This window comes from Homo sapiens, chromosome X (genome assembly GCF_000001405.40).
Source record: "Homo sapiens chromosome X, GRCh38.p14 Primary Assembly".
Lineage (NCBI taxonomy): Eukaryota > Metazoa > Chordata > Mammalia > Primates > Hominidae > Homo > Homo sapiens.
In genome coordinates this window covers 70404657-70421870 of record NC_000023.11, presented here as the reverse complement: position 1 = coordinate 70421870, position 17214 = coordinate 70404657, and the positions used below count along the sequence as shown (strand labels likewise).

The 17214-nt window shown below is 44.3% G+C and overlaps 1 protein-coding gene across 1 annotated transcript in view; it reads right to left on the bottom strand.

Annotated features, from left to right (window-relative positions):
* KIF4A (kinesin family member 4A) overlaps window positions 985–17214 on the bottom strand; it is a 130783-nt gene continuing 114553 nt past the window's right edge. Inside the window, exons 25-31 of the mRNA NM_012310.5 lie at window positions 17049–17156; window positions 15966–16043; window positions 15517–15612; window positions 14796–14978; window positions 3867–3983; window positions 2088–2210; window positions 985–1809 (exon numbers count right to left, since the gene is read on the bottom strand). Of these exons, the coding sequence (NP_036442.3) occupies window positions 1606–1809; window positions 2088–2210; window positions 3867–3983; window positions 14796–14978; window positions 15517–15612; window positions 15966–16043; window positions 17049–17156 (909 nt within the window). The 3' untranslated portion in view covers window positions 985–1605. The remainder of the gene's footprint in view (window positions 1810–2087; window positions 2211–3866; window positions 3984–14795; window positions 14979–15516; window positions 15613–15965; window positions 16044–17048; window positions 17157–17214) is intronic.

The window sequence follows — 17214 nt, the reverse complement described above, 5'->3', positions numbered from 1 at the left end:
CCCCCTCCCACTCAGGCTTCCCATTGTATCCAGAGGCTCTAGTTGGCAATGGCAGAGGCTCCCTTGCTCCCTCGGCATTAAAATGCAAAGAGAAGCAGGGCTGCTTGCTGGCAGGAGGCCAGGGAGGACCAGCAGGTCACCTAGTCCATGGCAGGCTTCATTCTAGGCAGATTGTTGCTCAATTTCTTTTGCTTGGGCTCTGGTGGATTCTAGAGGAGTCTTGGCTTTTGAGTGTTTGGGGATGGTTTGGGAGCTTTTTTGGGGAGAAGGGTTTTGGGATTCAGAATGCATGGATATGAAGCGCAGGGCTTGTGAGCATCTACCTCAGAAGGCTACAAGGCCAGTCAGCAGCTTGTGTATGGCATTCCAGGGCTGGCCCCCTTTTAGCTTTAAGCAGAGATAGAGAACACTGATAGACTGTAAGGCGTAAGCATCTTTCAAAGGAGAATGCAAGGAGCCAGTGCTGTTCTGTCCTGGGACTGGACAGCAGTGTGGTGCAACGCCCCTCCTACACTAAGAAATTAGGCTGCAGGGCATTAGAAGTGGCTGCTGCTGGCACTCTAGAGAGTTGGCTAGAGTGAAGCTTGGATGGTAGCTCTGCGTTCAGGTCCTAGCTCTATTGCTCACTAGCTTTGTGACTTTGGGTAAGTTACTTCTTTATACCCCAGTTTCCTCATCTGCAAAATAAGGACATCTATCTATGTTGACCTTTTTGTGTGTGTATGAAGAACAAATAAAACTGTAGCAAGAACATGGAGATGGTTAGTAAATGCGGTTTCTTCCTCCCAAATCTGGAAGCCAGGCAGGTTCTACAGTGGAGGTCAGGCCACTGGCCTTGCTAACGCGATTCTGATTTCCTAGGGTAGCAGAGCAACATAAAGACACATCACACTCCACAATACCCTCTGGGAAAGAGGGCAGCTACAATAAGGCAGGGAGGCTCAGGTACTTGTAATGAATCCCCTTAATAGCTTCCTCAGGGGCTGAGGAACACAGGTTGAAATTTTATTTCTCCCTCTAGCACAGAAGGATCTTCCCAAACAGTAGACGGGCTAAGGTTTATTTACTTACTTAACATTTAAAAATAATTCATTTGCTTCAACAACATGGCAGACAATCAAGAGTACTATTGAAACATAATTCAGAGAGGGTCAGGACAGGAAAGATCACAACCTCATTCCTGAGGTGGAATGAAAGATCTAAGCCAGGCCTCCATCCTAGGCCAGGCTCCTCCATTAAGCAGAGACAACCAAAAGATAAGAAAGCCTTGGCCTCATCCCCATCAGGAGATAGCCTGAACTGCTCACAAATAAGAAACAACTTGACCAGACTGAGGACTGGTTCCTGATGAGTCAATAGGAAAGTCAGTTGGTTCTCTCTTCAGTAGGTGACTTAGCACCCTTCTGGAGAACATAGAGTAGTAGTCTGGACCTGGAGGCTAAGGCCCACATCCAACAAAGGTTACCTTCTTTTCAGTAACGCTTTGTTCCTTTTTTCAACAGCAAGAAACCTGAAATCCAGAGAAGTCATTTAAAAAACCCCTTCTGGCTGCAACCTGAAAGCATCTCCCAAGCCAGACTGGGGGTAGAGATGATGACTCCAACTTCAGTGGGCCTCTTCTTCGATAGGGGAGCAGCCAGAGAAGAAGCTGGTGTTGCTGGCCAGAGCCCGTTTCTTTTTCTTCCCTGGAGCCTTGTTTTCTTGGTATTCTGTTGCTACATGTTTCAACTCTGGGAGGTCAAAAGGGGAGGGAGCTGGGGGAGTCTTCTTTGACAGCACCTGCTCCACATCGCACATCTCTTTCAGGATCTAGGAGGGACAGAGACAGGTATGAATAGACTTTAGAAAGGGGCAGAAGCTCAGCCCAGCCGAGCTGCTATAGATGCTCGACATACTCCCAGTAGTATGAAGTGTTCTTTAAGATCATTCTATGGAAAAAACCAGACTAGAGTCTATGCCCGATCCCTAGTTCCCAGCAAGCTGATTACACCTTTACTCCACCTGCCTCTCTCCTACTGGTCTCTCATAGATAATGCAGAGAAGGACGCTAATCCAGTTTTCCAATGCCTGCCTTTTAGCCCACCTACCTTGCTATTGGGGGTGGCACAGACGGGATTAAAGAAGCTCAATCCTGGGGTCACCTCGGTAGGATCCTCCAGTTTGAAGGAGCCTTCGGAATCCTGGGTCCGTTCAACAGTGCCCAAGCTATCCTGAAAATCAAGCAGACAGGCATATTATAAATTTGGCTGCCAGGTTTACAAAATCAGTCTGCTCCCATTCAACCAAAGAGGTAACAGCTCTAAGTGCCTGATTAGTCAGCTGAAGCAAGTCTTAGGGAGGCCCTGCTTGGGGAGGTCATAGTGTTTGACACGCTCTGTCCCTGAAGGAATGGAGCAATGCCTGTAGGTGGCCTCTGAAGGCAAAGACTAGGTAGTTGCATGGGACATCTCACAAGGCCAGGTTTAAAGCAAAGACAAGCCTCGGTCATTTGTTTGACTAAACTCCCCCTCTCTACAATTTGCAATATCTCTTTTAGCATCCATACTGGGTGTTCCTTTCAGTTAAGAAAACTGAGTCCGAGAGAGAGACAGATAGAGATGGGAGGAGGGAGGAAGGGGCCATGCCCCTCTGCCTGGAGGCCCTTTCATGGAGCTACTACATGACTCTTGAACGCAAACTGAAAAACCACAGGAATAGAGGATCCTTAAGGTCTCTGCTACTTCTACAGTTCTTAGCCTGACTTCTAGCTTGCCTATCTATGTTAGAAGTCTTTTTTTTTTTTTTTTGAGATGGAGTCTCGCTCTGTCGCTGAGGCTGGAGTGCAGTGGCACGATCTCAGCTCACTGCAAGCTCCGCCTCCCGGGTTCACGCCATTCTCCTGCCTCAGCCTCCTGAGTAGCTGGGACTATAGGCACCCACTACCACGCCTGGCTAATTTTTTTGTATTTTTAGTAGAGACGGGGTTTCACCGTGTTAGCCGGGATGGTCTTGATCTCCTGACCTCGTGATCCGCCCGCCTCGGCCTCCCAAAGTGCTAGGATTACAGGCGTGAGCCACCGTGCCCGGCCAGAGGTCTTTTTAATAGAAGATGCAGGTTGAAACTCTTCACATGTGGATGTTCAAGAAATGCATGATGAATCATCATTAGATTGTGCTTGCTAGAATTACTGTATATCACATATAGAGCTGTAGTAATGCATTTTTGCTATTGCACAGGTAGGTGTAAGGCAGGTATAGGGATCTGACCTGCTTGGTGCTGCTCTTCCCAGGGAACATTTGGTTTTCCTGAGTTTGCTATTCCTGGGAGCAATATTAAGAGGACATTTAGGTTAACTTGGTTTACAACAGTGACTATTAGAAAGGCCTGGTTCCTGTGGGTCTTTTTCTAGAGCCATGGAATAGCTAGCTGGTTGCCATGGAGAGAGTCTAGGTAACGAATGTCTCGAGATGTCAAAAGGATTAACTTCCTGGAAGCTGCTACCTCAGTACGTGGCTCTTACAGTTCCAGTTAAACCTCTGGACTAATTTGATCCTGCATGTCTATATGCCTGTGAATGCCTGCTTTCTTGTCTTTGTCATCTCAAAAACAGTACAGAAACTTTACAGCCAAGCCTGGGGGTGGGGAGCTCTATACCTGGGAATCTCCTGGGAAGTGCTGTGGTTTCTGAAAGGGGTATGTGAACAGGCAAGCAGCAAGGAAAAAGGATTGAGAAGTGAACTGTCTCTTTTTCTGGGTGCAGAGGGAAGGAGAAGGGTTGGAAGAGCTGTGCAGGAGACTCCAGGTTTCAGGATGGAAGGCAGAAAAAGAGGGTGGAAACTAGAGGAAGGTCTGAAGGGAAGGGGAGAGGAAACAGCCCTGATCCTACCTTGCCTTGCTGGCGGTTCCGACACTTTGTGGGGTCACAGCAACAGTCCACACCACAGTCTGACTTTTGCTTCCTGCACCCACACTGCTTGTTTCCACACCAGCCCTTGCAGGAACACTGCAAAACAGGTTTGCAGAAAGACACATTACTGAAAGGGTTAGAAGACTAGTTTAAAATGACTTCCCTTCATTTGCAAGCTTTTCTAGAAAAAAATGGAAAGTACTATTATCTACCAAGCTTCAATCTCCTTAGTCCTCTCTTCTTTGGTGAAAACAATAATCACCAAGAACCGTCATAGGTTTAAAGAGAACAAGTCTTGCCAGACAAATCCATTTCCTTTTCTTTTCTTTTTTTCTTTGAGATGGAGTCTTATTATGTCACCCAGGCTGGAGTGCAGTGGCACGATCTCCGCTCACTGCAACCTCCGCCTCCCAGGTTCAAGTGATTCTCCTGCCTCAGCCTCCTGAGTAGCTGGGATTACAGGTGCCTGCCACCATGCCCGGCTACTTTTTGTATTTTCAGTAGAGACAGGGTTTCACCATGCTGGCCAGGCTGGTCTTGAACTCCCGACCTCAGGCGATCCACCTGCCTCGGCCTATCAAAGTGCTGGGATTACAGGTGTGAGCCACCGTGCCTGGCCACCTGGCTAATTTTTGTATTTTTAGTAGAGACGGGGGTTTCACCATGTTGCCCAGGCTGGTCTCGAACTCCTGACCTCAGGTGATCAGCCCACCTTGGCCTCCCAAAGTGCTGGGATTACAGGCGTGAGCCACCGCGCCTGGCTGAAAAATCCATTTTCTTTTGGACAGAATACTTGAAGGACAGATCAGAGGGATAGCATAATAATGCAAGGCAACCGACAAAGACTCTTATGACAACTTTATGGGTAAAGTGAAGCACTGTGAGCTGGATGGTAGTATAGTTAAGTACATTTAAAAACTAAGTGTAGTTGCTCAGTATTTTTAGAATTACCAAGCTGTACTTTCATCCAGCTCACATTTCTGCATTTTGTCCAGTGTTAGCCTGGGCTTTGTCCTTAACACATTTTGATAAATCACTGATGATATGAAATAAAATCATTTACATTTGATAGCACTTTACAGTTTTCAGAGTACTTTCATGTACATAAATACAAAATCTCATTTGAATCTCATAACTTGTCTACAAGGTAGGCATATTTATCAGCTCTAACAATGACAGAAAGCTGGAAGGATTAGTAATATGTAAGATAAAAGAATCACAATTCAAAAATATTTTGACAGGCTGGACTTAAGGGGTAAAAGTAGAAAGTAAGTTTGTAAGTTTGGTATTTAGGTTCCCCTCAACTCAGCCATATAAATACAACATGGGGAGTGATCTAGCTTAAAAGTAGACCGTGCGGTGGCTCATGCCAGTAATCCCAGCACTTTGGGAGGTCAAGGCGGGTGGATCGCTTGAGCTCAGGAGTTTGAGACTAGCCTGGGCAACATGCTGAAACCCTGTCTCCACCAAAAATACAAAAAATTAGCTGGACGTGGTGTCAACCTCAGGAGGCTGAGGTGGGAGGATCACTTGAGCCTGGGAGGTGGAAGCTGCAGTGAGCTGAGATCGCGCCACTGCACTCCAGCCTGGGTGACAGAGTGAGACCTCGTCTCAAAAAAAAAAAAAAAAAAAAAAAAAGACTGTGCAGAAAAGGGCCTAGGGATTTGAGGTGTAAGCAAGCTCTGTGAGTCAACAGCTTGAAATGGCTGTCCCAAAGCAAATGCAGTCAGGTAGAAATTTGGAGTTCAGAAAAGATGGGGAGTAATTATTTCATTGTACCCTGGCTCAACTGGATCCCATTTGAAATAATGCATCCTGGCTGGGCGCAGTGGCTCACGCCTGTAATCCCAACACTTTGGGAGGCCGAGGCGGGCAGATCATCTGAGGTCAGAAGTTCAAGACCAGCCTGACCAACATGGTGAAACCCCGTCTCCACTAAAAATACAAAATTAGCCAGGCATCATAGCGCATGCCTGTAATCCCAGCTACTCAGGAGGCTGAGGCAGGAGAATCGCTTGAACCCGGGAGGCGGAGGTTGCAGTGAGCCAAGATCATGCCATTGCACTCCAGCCTGGGCGACAAGAGTGAAACTCCGTCTCAAAAAAAAAAAAAAAAAAAAAAAGAAATAATGCATCCTATTTTAGGGCACCATAATTTTGTTCATGTGTACAAAAGCATAGACAATAGCAATAAAAAACCTCACTCATGCCCCCACTAACCCCCCTTAATAGTAAAATGCAGATATAACCAAGGTCTCCTATGCACTCCTTCCTGATCCTATTTGCCTCCCCCTTTCCAGGGATAAACAGTCTCCTGAATTAGGTGTTTATCATTCCTATGTATGTCTCTTACCACATTAGTTTTTTTTTTTTTTTTGGAGACAGGGTCTTGCTCTGTCACCCAGGCTGGAGTGCAGTGGCACAATCATAGCTCACTGCAGCCTCAACCTCTTTGACTTAGTGATCCTCCTGCCTCAGCCTCCAGCGTATCTGAGACCACAAGCACATGCCACCATGCCTGGCTAATTTTTTGGTTTTGTAGAGACAGGGTCTCGCCATGTTGCCCAGGCTGGTCTTGAACTCCTGGCCTCAAGCAATCCTCTTGCCTCAGCCTCCCAAAGTGCTGAGATTACAGGCGTGAGCAACAGCACCTAGCCACACATAAGAGTTTTTGTAAAAAAACAAAAACAAACAAGAAATTGTCTTACACGTTTCTAAACTTTGTATAAATGACATATGTTGATACATATAGCTTCAATTCCATTCATTTTCACTCTATGAAGTTGCCACAATTTACCCATTCTCCTGATAGTGCCATTTTCCATTCTTATAAACAAGGCTGCAGTAGTGATAGCTAACATTAATGTGTGCCAGGCACTGCTATAAGGGCTTTCCATTTATTAAACCAGTTTAATCAATAAGCATGTTTTCTTGTATACACATTCAGGAAGTCAGTGTGTATGTTTTATAAAGAGGATGTTAAACAAAAAAGAGGTGAGTGATCAGAATTATAGGAAGCAATGCTATAAGAAAAATCGTAGAAGAAAGTGGGATAGTTTGGCTTTGAAAAGACAGAGGTGGCTGAGCTCACAGGATGAAGGAACAGAGTGAGAAGAGACCTCAGCGACCACCTAAAGACTGGTTTGATGTATGAAGCCCCTCTTAACATCCCTGGTCTAATTATCTGAAGCTCTATTTATCCTGAGGTGATAATAGTTTCTATATAACTTCTAATCATAGGACCCAATTCTGCCATCTAAAATGACATGGAATCAGTTTAACCCCACTTTTATAGAATAACTGTTCAAACCCTGAACGTAATTTTTACTCCCCAGTCCCCTTCTGTCCAAATCCTCTCAAAGTTAAATGTACCTAGTTCCCTCAATGATTTGCCACATGACATGGTTCTCATGTATCCTCACCACCTTGACTATACACCAATTTGTCAAAGTTCTTCAATTGTGAGATCTAGAAATGAGCACAACTTTCTAAATGTGGTGTGGCCACTGTGAGGTGGACTGTGATAAACACCTCCCTTGTTATGGACCCAGTAGTCCTGTTCATGAGGCCTAAAATCAGTTGCTTTTTTTTTCCTGTCACATCTTTGTGGATTCATACTGAGCTTATAGTCAAATTCAAGCCTTTAAGTTTTTTTCATATGAGAACCATCACCTTTGCTCTGTAGTTGCTCTGTAGAAACCACAATAACATTTTTTTTCTGATTAGCAGAATAATATATATCACTTTACAAAATTTGAAAATCAAAAAACTTGACTTTAATAGTTGTATATATTTCCTCATGGGGATAATGTCGATTTATTTAACCAGTCCCCTAATGTTAAATATTAAGATTGTTTTGAAAGAAATTGTTCACTATTATAAATCATGTTGCAGTAGATATCCTTGTATAGAAATATAATCTAAACTGTACCACGACTGACAAGGCCCTCCATGATCTGGCCCTTGACTACCCATCCCCTGACTGTAGCTTATGCTTGATACATTCTAGTCACACTGGCCTTTTTAGCTGTTCCTTGAGATACTAAGCTCATTCCTGCCCTGAGGTCTTACATTTTCTGTTCCCTTTTCCTGAAATGTTCTTCTGATGCTTTTCCTGACTTGCTCTTCACTGTTTAGGCCTCAGCTTAGATATTTCCTTCTCAGAGAGAGCTCCACAAGCACTCTTCTTTAAAAAAAATTTGTTTTTAGTGAGATGGGGTCTCGCTACGTTGCCCAGCCTGGTCTTTAACTCCTGACCTCAAGCAGTCCTCCCACCTCAGCCTCCCAAAGTGTTGGGATTACAGGCATGAGCCACCGTGCCCGGCCTACCCAAGCACTCTTTTTTTTTTTTTTTTGAGATGGAGTCTTGCTCTGTCTCCCAGGCTGGAGTGCAGTGGCGAGATCTCAGCTCACTGCAACCTCTGCCAGGTTTAAGCAATTCTTGTGCCTCAGCCTCCTGAGTGGTTGGGATTACAGGCGTGCGCCATCACGCCCGGCTAATTTTTATATTTTTAGTAGAGATGGGGTTTTGCTGTGTTGGCCAGGCTGGTTTTGAACTCCTGACATCAAGTGATCCGCCCACCTCGGCCTCCCAAAGTGCTGGGATTATAGGCGTGAGCCACTGCGCCTGGCCCCAAGCACTCTTCTAAAGTGCTCTTTTCCCATCCCACATTCTCTATGACTTCACTATATTTTCTTTTCTTTTTCACTCATCACTATCTAAAATTATTTTATTTTTCTGGTTACCATGTGTCTCTCCCCACAAGAATACCAGTTTCATGAGGGTAAAGAATCTCACCTGCCTTGTTTCATGTCTTCTCAGCATCTAGAAACAGTGCCTGGCACATAGGTGCTCAGAAAAAAATTTGTCAAACGAATAAATACATTTACATACCAATGTCTACTTCCTCAGTATAAATTTGTATGTGTAAAATTACTGGGTCAAAGGATAGAAACATTTTAAAGGCTACTGATACGTATTTTCAAGTTGCCTTCCTGAAAGGTATACCAATTTATATTCCTAATAGCAATACAGAAATGCCCTTCTTTTTTTTTTTTTAAGACAGGGTCTCACTCTGTCACCCAGGCTGGAGTGCAGTGGCATGATCAGAGCTCACTGCAGCCTCAACCTCCAGGGCTCAAGTGATCCTGTGGCCTCAGCCCCCACTGAGTAGCTGGGACTACAGGTGTGTGTCACCATGCCAGGCTAATCTTTTGTATTTCTAGTAGAGACAGGGTTTCACCACGTTGCCCAGGCTGGTCTCAAACTACTAGGCTCAAGTAATCTGCCCACTTCAGCCTCCCAAAGTGTCGGGATTACAGGTGTGAGCCATGGCGCCCGGCCAGAAGTGCCCTTCTTAGTCACCCTTGCCAACGCTAGACATTATCATAACAAAAAATCTTTGCTGCTTTAAGACAGGATGAAAGATGGAGTTCTATGACATGTCCTGGTGATACTTCACCAGGATGACAGTGATCCATTGATTGCTACAGCCTGGGTATGGTCCTTTGGCCATTTACAAATTCATCTAAATGCTTCAAAAATGCTGTTACCTCATCCATGTTTCTCTATTTTATCCTAGGGATAATATCATGAAAGCAGTATCTGAAGGGCTGTCATAAAGAATGATTAGGCTCTTACACAGCCAAGACCTACTGGGATGATGTATAGGACAGCACATTTCAGCTAAACAAGAAGTAACTTTCTAACAATTAGTGGAATCCAATGGGTTGTCCTATAAGACTGTGAGCTTCCCCCTACTAGAAGTCTTCAAGCAAGAAGAGGTTAGATAAATACCTGGTAGTGGTATTATAGCACAGTCATGACATACATGACAGATGTAGTTGCGTGAATGCCAGGTACATGAGCTGTAACTTCATCCTATTCTCTCTCACACCAAGAAGCAGATTAGAATGTCAAAGACAGAATGTGTCCCTATCACAGGCATAACTACAAATGTATTTAATACATGTATACAGGGTGGTGTGTGTGTGTGTGTGTGTGTGTATCACAACTGCTGGCAACCCACCAGCATGTCCCAGCACCGTAGTTGAGAAGTAATAGGGGGACTCTTTTTTTTTTTCTTTTTCTTTTGTAGAGATGGGATCTTGCTATGTTGCCAAGGCTGGTCTTGAACTCCTGGCGTCAAGCAATCCTCCCACCTCGGCCTCTCAAAGTGCTGGGATGATAGGCATGAGCAACCACACCCGGCCAAGGGATTCTTTGTAGAGAGTGGAAAGCAGAGTCTGGGTTTCCCCTAAGCCAGTTGTTCTCAACTCTGGCTGCACATAAGAAATCTCTGGGGAGCTTTTCAAAAAGTCCATGTCCTACCTCAGACTAATTACATCAGAATATCTGGGGGTGGAGTCCTAGGCTCCATGTTTAAAAGCTCCCTTGGGTGTTCCAATGTGTGGCTAGACTTGAGAACTACTGCTTTAGAGTCCATAATTCCTCTAGCACCAAGCTCAGTGTTACACTGTACCTCATACTTCAGAAGGATGAGATCTGGTCCAAAAAAAAAAAATACCAGGATTGGTAAGTGATGCTGTGGCAAAAACAAAAAACAAAGAATACCAGACTAGGAATTAGGAGACTCAGGCTCTAGTCCTATATTTAATGCTTGGCATGACCTTGGACAAGTCACTTCATCCAAGTTAATCTCCATTCTTTTTTTTTTTTTAATTTTTAAATTTAGAGATGGGGTCTTGCTCGGTCACTGAGGCTGGAGTGCAGTGGCACAATCATAGTTCACTGCAGCCTTGAACTCTGGGCTCAAGTGATCCTCCCACCTTGGCTTCCCCAAGTATTGGGATTACAGGTATGAGCCACCGTGCCCAGGCTATTCCTTCATCAGTAAGGTAGAGGCAAAAATACCTGCTTCCTCTTTTCTGCCAAATGTGACAAATGAGAATATTTGTAAAATGCTTACAGTGCTTTAACAACAATATCTGCATGATACTGTATCCTTCACAAGGTGCTTTTGCATATATTCCTCCTAACTTTTCAGATACCATATAACACCATATAAAAGCATTGTTATTAAAACCCATTTACACAACTTTGACTGTTACTTTGACTCAGGATATTAGTCCTAGAAGGAACCTTATACATAATCTGTTCTAGACCAGGGGGTCCACAACCCCTAGGCTGGGGACCAGTACTGGTCAGTGGCCTGTTAGGAACTGAGCCACACAGCAGGAGGTGAGCTGCAGGCGAGCAAGCATTACAGCCTGGGTTCTGCCTCCTGTCAGATCAGTGGCAGCATTAGAATCTCATAGGAGTAAGAATCCTGTTGTGAACTGCACATGTTGCGCACTCCTTATGAGACTCTAACTAATGCCTGATATCTGAGATGGAACAGTTTCATCCCCAAACCACCCCCACAACCAGTCCGTGGAAAAACTGTCTTCCACGAAACCGGTCCCTGGTACCAAAAAGATTGGGGACCGCTGTTCTAGACCCTGCATTGCATAGGTAAGGAATCTGAGGCCCAGGGAGACTGACTTGCTCAAGGTTACTCAATGAACCCGTGGCAAACTCAAGACCCATGTCTATCTGGCTTCTAGGTTACTACTTTTTCTATGATAGCACATGACTTACCCCCCAGCATCTCCTTAGTACATATAGGAAATGTGGCTGAGTGAGGAAGCCATTAACTCTGGACAAGTCATCATTTTGGTGCCTGCTTCAGTCTCCTTTTCAGTAATCTAGTGATAGTCCCAGCCAGCTTCAGCTGGGTTGAAGCAGTAATAATAAAGGTCCTCTGTGAAGCATCAAGTTCTACAGGTAATATGTCTGCAAGCAGTCTGATCAAAGAGCAGTCATAGTATCCATGTACTTTCAGACTGCCAAAAGGTAACTTTAGAGAAACCAGATTTTATGCTAACTTGTTCCCTTTAAAGCCCAGTTATATTCACTTTCCAAATTATAAAATCAGGGGAAAAGCCTAGAAAACAGTAATTCCTCATTGTTTTAGACGTAGGATTTATCACTAATAGTAAATATTATTTACTGCAATATTTGCTATACTTCTATGTTGCCCTTTTAAGCTTAGAGCAACAGTGCTCTAATAAATATATGAAGCTTTCCTTGAGGACAAGTATACCTGTATTCACCTCATATTTGGAAATTCCTTTCCAGGGCTTTAGGCCCTCTACCATTTTTTTTCTTTTCTTTTTTTTTTTTTTTTTGAGACAGTCTTGCTCTGTATCCCAGGCTAGAGTACAGTGGTGTGATCTCAGCTTACTGCCATCTCCACCTCCTGGGTTCAAGCGATTCTCCTGCCTCAGCCTCCCAAGTAGCTGCGATTACAGGCATGCGTCACCATGCCTGGCTGATTTTTGTATTTTTAGTAGAGATGGGGTTTCGCCATGTTGGCCAGGCTGGTCTCAAACTCCTGACCTCAGGTGATCCGCCTGCCTTGGCCTCCCGAAGTGCTGGGATTACAGGCATGAGCCACGCCTGGCCTCTACCATTTTTCTGTGTGTACTTCTCAACTCTGCCTCCTATTACTTAGCTGACCTTTTAATCTACATTCAGCTCATGCTCTCTACTTCAACTATAGTAAAACGTCCATAAATGTTTGTTGAGTAAATGAAAGAAAGAGACACGCTCTGCCCCATTTTCTCTAAGTGTCCCAACTCTCTGTTCCACTACCATCTTCAAGTCTTAGGAATATGCTATTCATTGTGCCAGAAATGTCTCCCAGTTGCTCCCAAGACTGTATTTCCCTTTCTGTCTTACAACGCAGCAATAGTCACCTCTTTCATGGCATTTTCTTAAATTACACCTCCTTGGTTTGGCTTTATAGTCACTCTTAAAAACTTGCACGGTGGCTCATGCTTGTAATCCCAGCACTTTGGGAGGTCGAGGTGGGCAGATCACCTGAGGTCAGGAGTTCGAGACCAGCCTGACCAACATGGAGAAACCCCATCTCTACTAAAAATACAAAATTAGCTGGGCATGGTGGCGGGCACCTGTAATCCCAGCCACTCAGGAGGCTGAGGCTGGAGAATCGCTTGAACCCGGGAGGAGGAGGTTGTGGTGAGCCAAGATCGTGCCATTGCACTCCAGCCTGGGCAACAAGAGTGAAACTCTGTCTCAAAAGAAAAAACACAACAAACAAACCAAAAACTCCCCGGTCCATCTCCCTGAGACGAATATGCTGAGGTTCTATGGTAGGCTTCTATTCCTTTACCTTGTTTTCCCATTAGATTATAAACTCTCTGAAGCTAAGGATGAGCTCTTAGTTTCACTATGAGCACATGATATGTTGCATTCTTGATGATTCTGACTGACCAAATGACTTACCACCATGGCTGTCTATATCTTATGACTTGCTTCATCCTGGTGGTGTGGGTTTATAAGGCTTAGTTCCCCAGGTGATGAGCTATAGGCTAATCAAATCAAATAATGTAGGAAGCCAGCTAAGATAACTTGTGAACTGTTCTCTTTAAGTGGAATGTGGCTGCAGGGCACAGTTGGGGGTAGTGGTGCTGAACTGTAATGCCTGGGAAGTTAATGTTTCAACATAAAACATCTAGGTTTGAGTAGGACTATCATTGTATAAGAAAATAAAGCATGCCTAAGTCGGATTGTTCCTAAGTAGCCTTAACTTAGTGTGTTTGATCTTAATTATTAGCTTTTTCTGTAATTCTTTTTGTTCCTTAGCCTAGAGAGTAAAATTACTCTGTTAGGCAAAGATAAAGTACCCACTCAACTTCTGGTCTATGGTTTTTACTGACATAACCATGATGTGGGGGAAACAAACTGGACTTGGAGTCAGAATATTTGGTTTCAAGTCCTGACTATCACTTAGTTTTACGACCTTGGGCAAGGTCATTTCCCTCCTGTGGGTCGGGGGTCCATCTGGAAAATGCAAATAGTAAATATCTCACTGGATTTTTTTTTTTTTTTGAGATGGAATCTCACTCTTGTTGCCCAGGCTGGAGTGCAACGGCATGATCTCGGCTCACTGCAACCTCCACCCTCCCAGGTTCAAGCGATTCTCCTGTCTCAGCCTCCTGAGTAGCTGGGACTACAGGCATGCGCCATCAGGCCCAGCTAATTTTGTATTTTTAGTAGAGACGAGGTTTCTTCCTGTTAGTCAGGCTGGTCTCGAACTCCCGACCTCAGGTGATCTGCCCGCCTTGGCCTCCCAAAGTGCAGGGATTACAGGCGTGAGCCACTGCGCCTGGCCCTTCACTGGATTTTTTGTGGTGATTAAAAGTGGTAATATATATGAGAATGGTTTATAAACTGTAAAGTGCTATAAAAACATGAAGAATTGTTATGATCATTTTGGGATCAGCTTCAATGAAATGGTATGGAACATTACCTATTCAAATTGATAAGAACCTGAAAACAAGAAGAGAGCCAACTTGTGCACTCAAGCAGCCCTCTATACTAGCCCCAGGTTCTACACAAAGATGGCCCAACAAGCCCCCCTTTAGTGGAGTCAGTGCCTCTAAATGATAGCTAAAGGGTATGGGGCCAACACATTCCTAGATTCAGAAAACTATCCCAGTGGCAGTGAATGAATACTAAGAATTAGAACCCCTGACAAAGTTGAAGAGCTAGGCCGGGCACGGTGGCTCACACCTGTAATCCTAGCATTTTGGGAGACTGAGGCAGGCAGATTGCTTGAGGCCAGGAGTTTGAGACTGGCCTGGTCAACATGGTGAAACCCTGTCTGTACTAAAAATACAAAATTAACTGGGTGTGGTGGCACACGCCTGTGATCCCAGGTACTCAGGAGGCTGAGACACGAGAATTACTTGAACTTGGGAGGCAGAGGTTGCAGTGAGCCGAGAATGCACCACTGTACTCCAGCCTGGGCGACAGAGTGAGACTCTGTCTCCAAAAACAACAACAACAAAACAAAAAAAAAGTTGAAGAGCTGGCTCCTACCCCTTGGATGTTCTTCCTGGACACCTTAACTAATTTTGTTGGCTTCCATTCCTCGTCATCCCCCTCATCATCATCACCATCACCATCCTCATGCTCATTCACAGAATGCTCTGAACAATATTTTAGATCCTCGATGTCCATGCTTTGCTCCAGGAACTTTTCTTTAACACGAGAAGGTTTTGGCTAGGAAAAAAGGTTTGGAGTAGTTTAGTTATTTAATAAAAACTAAAAACTATATATGCATCATATCTTCCCAGTAGCTGTTGCCAGCTATATTCTCAGAGCAAAGATTTCAGACTCTCTCAAATCCACCCCACTTGGCTTTACCAATCAGAAGAAATTCTGCTTTAGCCTATGGCTTTGCAGAGTCTTTGAAGGCAGTGAAATTGGAGGCTGACCAATCTGAGGGAGGAAAGGGAAACTCATGATATGATGAGATAAGTATCTTTGGATGGACAGCTGAACATTATTGCTCTTTTCTCCTGTCCCTCCTCCTCAGTTGTGTTAGGTAATGCCTGTCCATGGCCCAAAGTCAGCCTTCTGAGGAGTAAGAATGCCTACTTTCCTTAGGATTGAACTGTAGTTTTATCTGGGACTCCAAAGAAAAGTGAGATGCTAGAATTTGGGAATTTTAACTGTCAACCTCTTATAAAGGGCAATTTTAGCACACTCACCCCAAACCTAAGCTGTGCAAAGGTATCACAGGCACTGATCATTTTACCTTAGGTGGGACATATTCAAAAGAAGAGTCTGGAGATAGAAGGGTATCCTTAGGAAGATGTTTCTGTCTGCTGGCTACCTGGAGGAGGGTCAGTTTCTATTTGAAAAGAAGAGACAAAGTATATAATGCAGGGCAGCTTCTGGGAGTGTTCATGGCTAAAACAGATACCAGACCTAGGCTAGCTTAACGTTAAACCATAGTAAAGTGATGCAGGATTATAGTAGAGTACGTTGACTCCCACTTTCCAATATCAACAATATTAGATTCAGAAAATGGCAAATTTAAAAACTTATGTTTATTCCACTTTGAAATGCATATGTCACATGGAAACTAAATGTAGACCTCATGAAATAAAGCCAAGTCACCACAATGGGGGTTGGTCCCAAGAGCTGGCCTCAGTAGCAACGGGGTCTCTTAGGGCTTATCAAGTGGGTGGGAAACTGTATTACCTGCTTGATGATTTCATTCTCTCGGAGAAGCTGCTGATTTTGCTCACACACTTCTCGCATTTTCTCAAGTTCTTCATCCTATTTCCAGATAGTGCAGTGATATATGGGGTTATTTTGGGCACTACATGTGGGTTACCAAACAACTCACATAGATGAAAACATACTGCTGCCAAGTTGCTGGCAGCAGATGGTTTTTGCACAGCAGGCACTGGCACCCAGAAAAATGTCTGATTCCCAGTTCCTAGGTGCCCTGAATGCCACTTCCATTCCAATGCTCCCCAGCAGCTCTGACCACATTCATAGGAACCGTGGACTCTGCCCGACAAGCCTTCCTTATTCTTTTCCATTCCTTAGCTTCATATCCCTTATTCACATTCGGATGCTGATTAAGAAACCCGCAGAAACTTAGCTCTATTTTCTTGAAGTCTATAGATGCTTCTCTTTACCCTTCTCAACATAGACTAGGCAGTTTACTTGCTACTTTAGTAAGCCTGACCGAACTACCTGGCACCTAAGACACCCAGATTCATGCATACAACCTTAACTAGTTTGCTTATGTCTTAGATGGAAGGTGCCAAGGAAACCCTACAGACTGGTGGTTCAGGAAAAAGATTCTAAGTTAGACTAAAATAGTGCTACAACATGCCACTAAAGGGTGTGGTGTTCCTAGCCTCTGGAAGAAATTCAGACCCCAGGCATTTTACAAATATGTCAGGTCTCAGCACAGAAGAACAAGCTCTTCATACCATTTGAATGGCCCTAGGATTCTAAGTAACTACTGGATGATTTCACTTCCTCAACTCTTTAGAGCTCAGGGTTGACGCCAAGAACCACAAGGCCTCAGAGTCTGATATGGAGTATGTGCTGCCATTTTGGTACCCAAAATGAGGTTATTCCTATATATGGCTACACTCTAAGCACCCCTAACCTGATCAAATAGGGCCTAAAAGCAGTAGAGGCTACCATTATAAATACTTTTTCCAGTAGTTAATTACTCTCTGCTGCAAGTACAAGGGTCTAAATGAGACAAGATTCTCAGTTAGTACTGTGAAACTCATCTCTGGAGACCTCTCGTGATCATACCTGACACTTCAGTGTGCTCAGCAGCTGCTGTTCCTTTTCACTGACTGATTCCTCTAACTGCTTCTCTGCCATTTGGCTTTGCTGCAGCTGGCTGAGAAGGTACAGCACCTAGAGAAAGACACGATCCAATGGGTGGTAACAAAGGTACCAAGGGGAAAAAGAAATT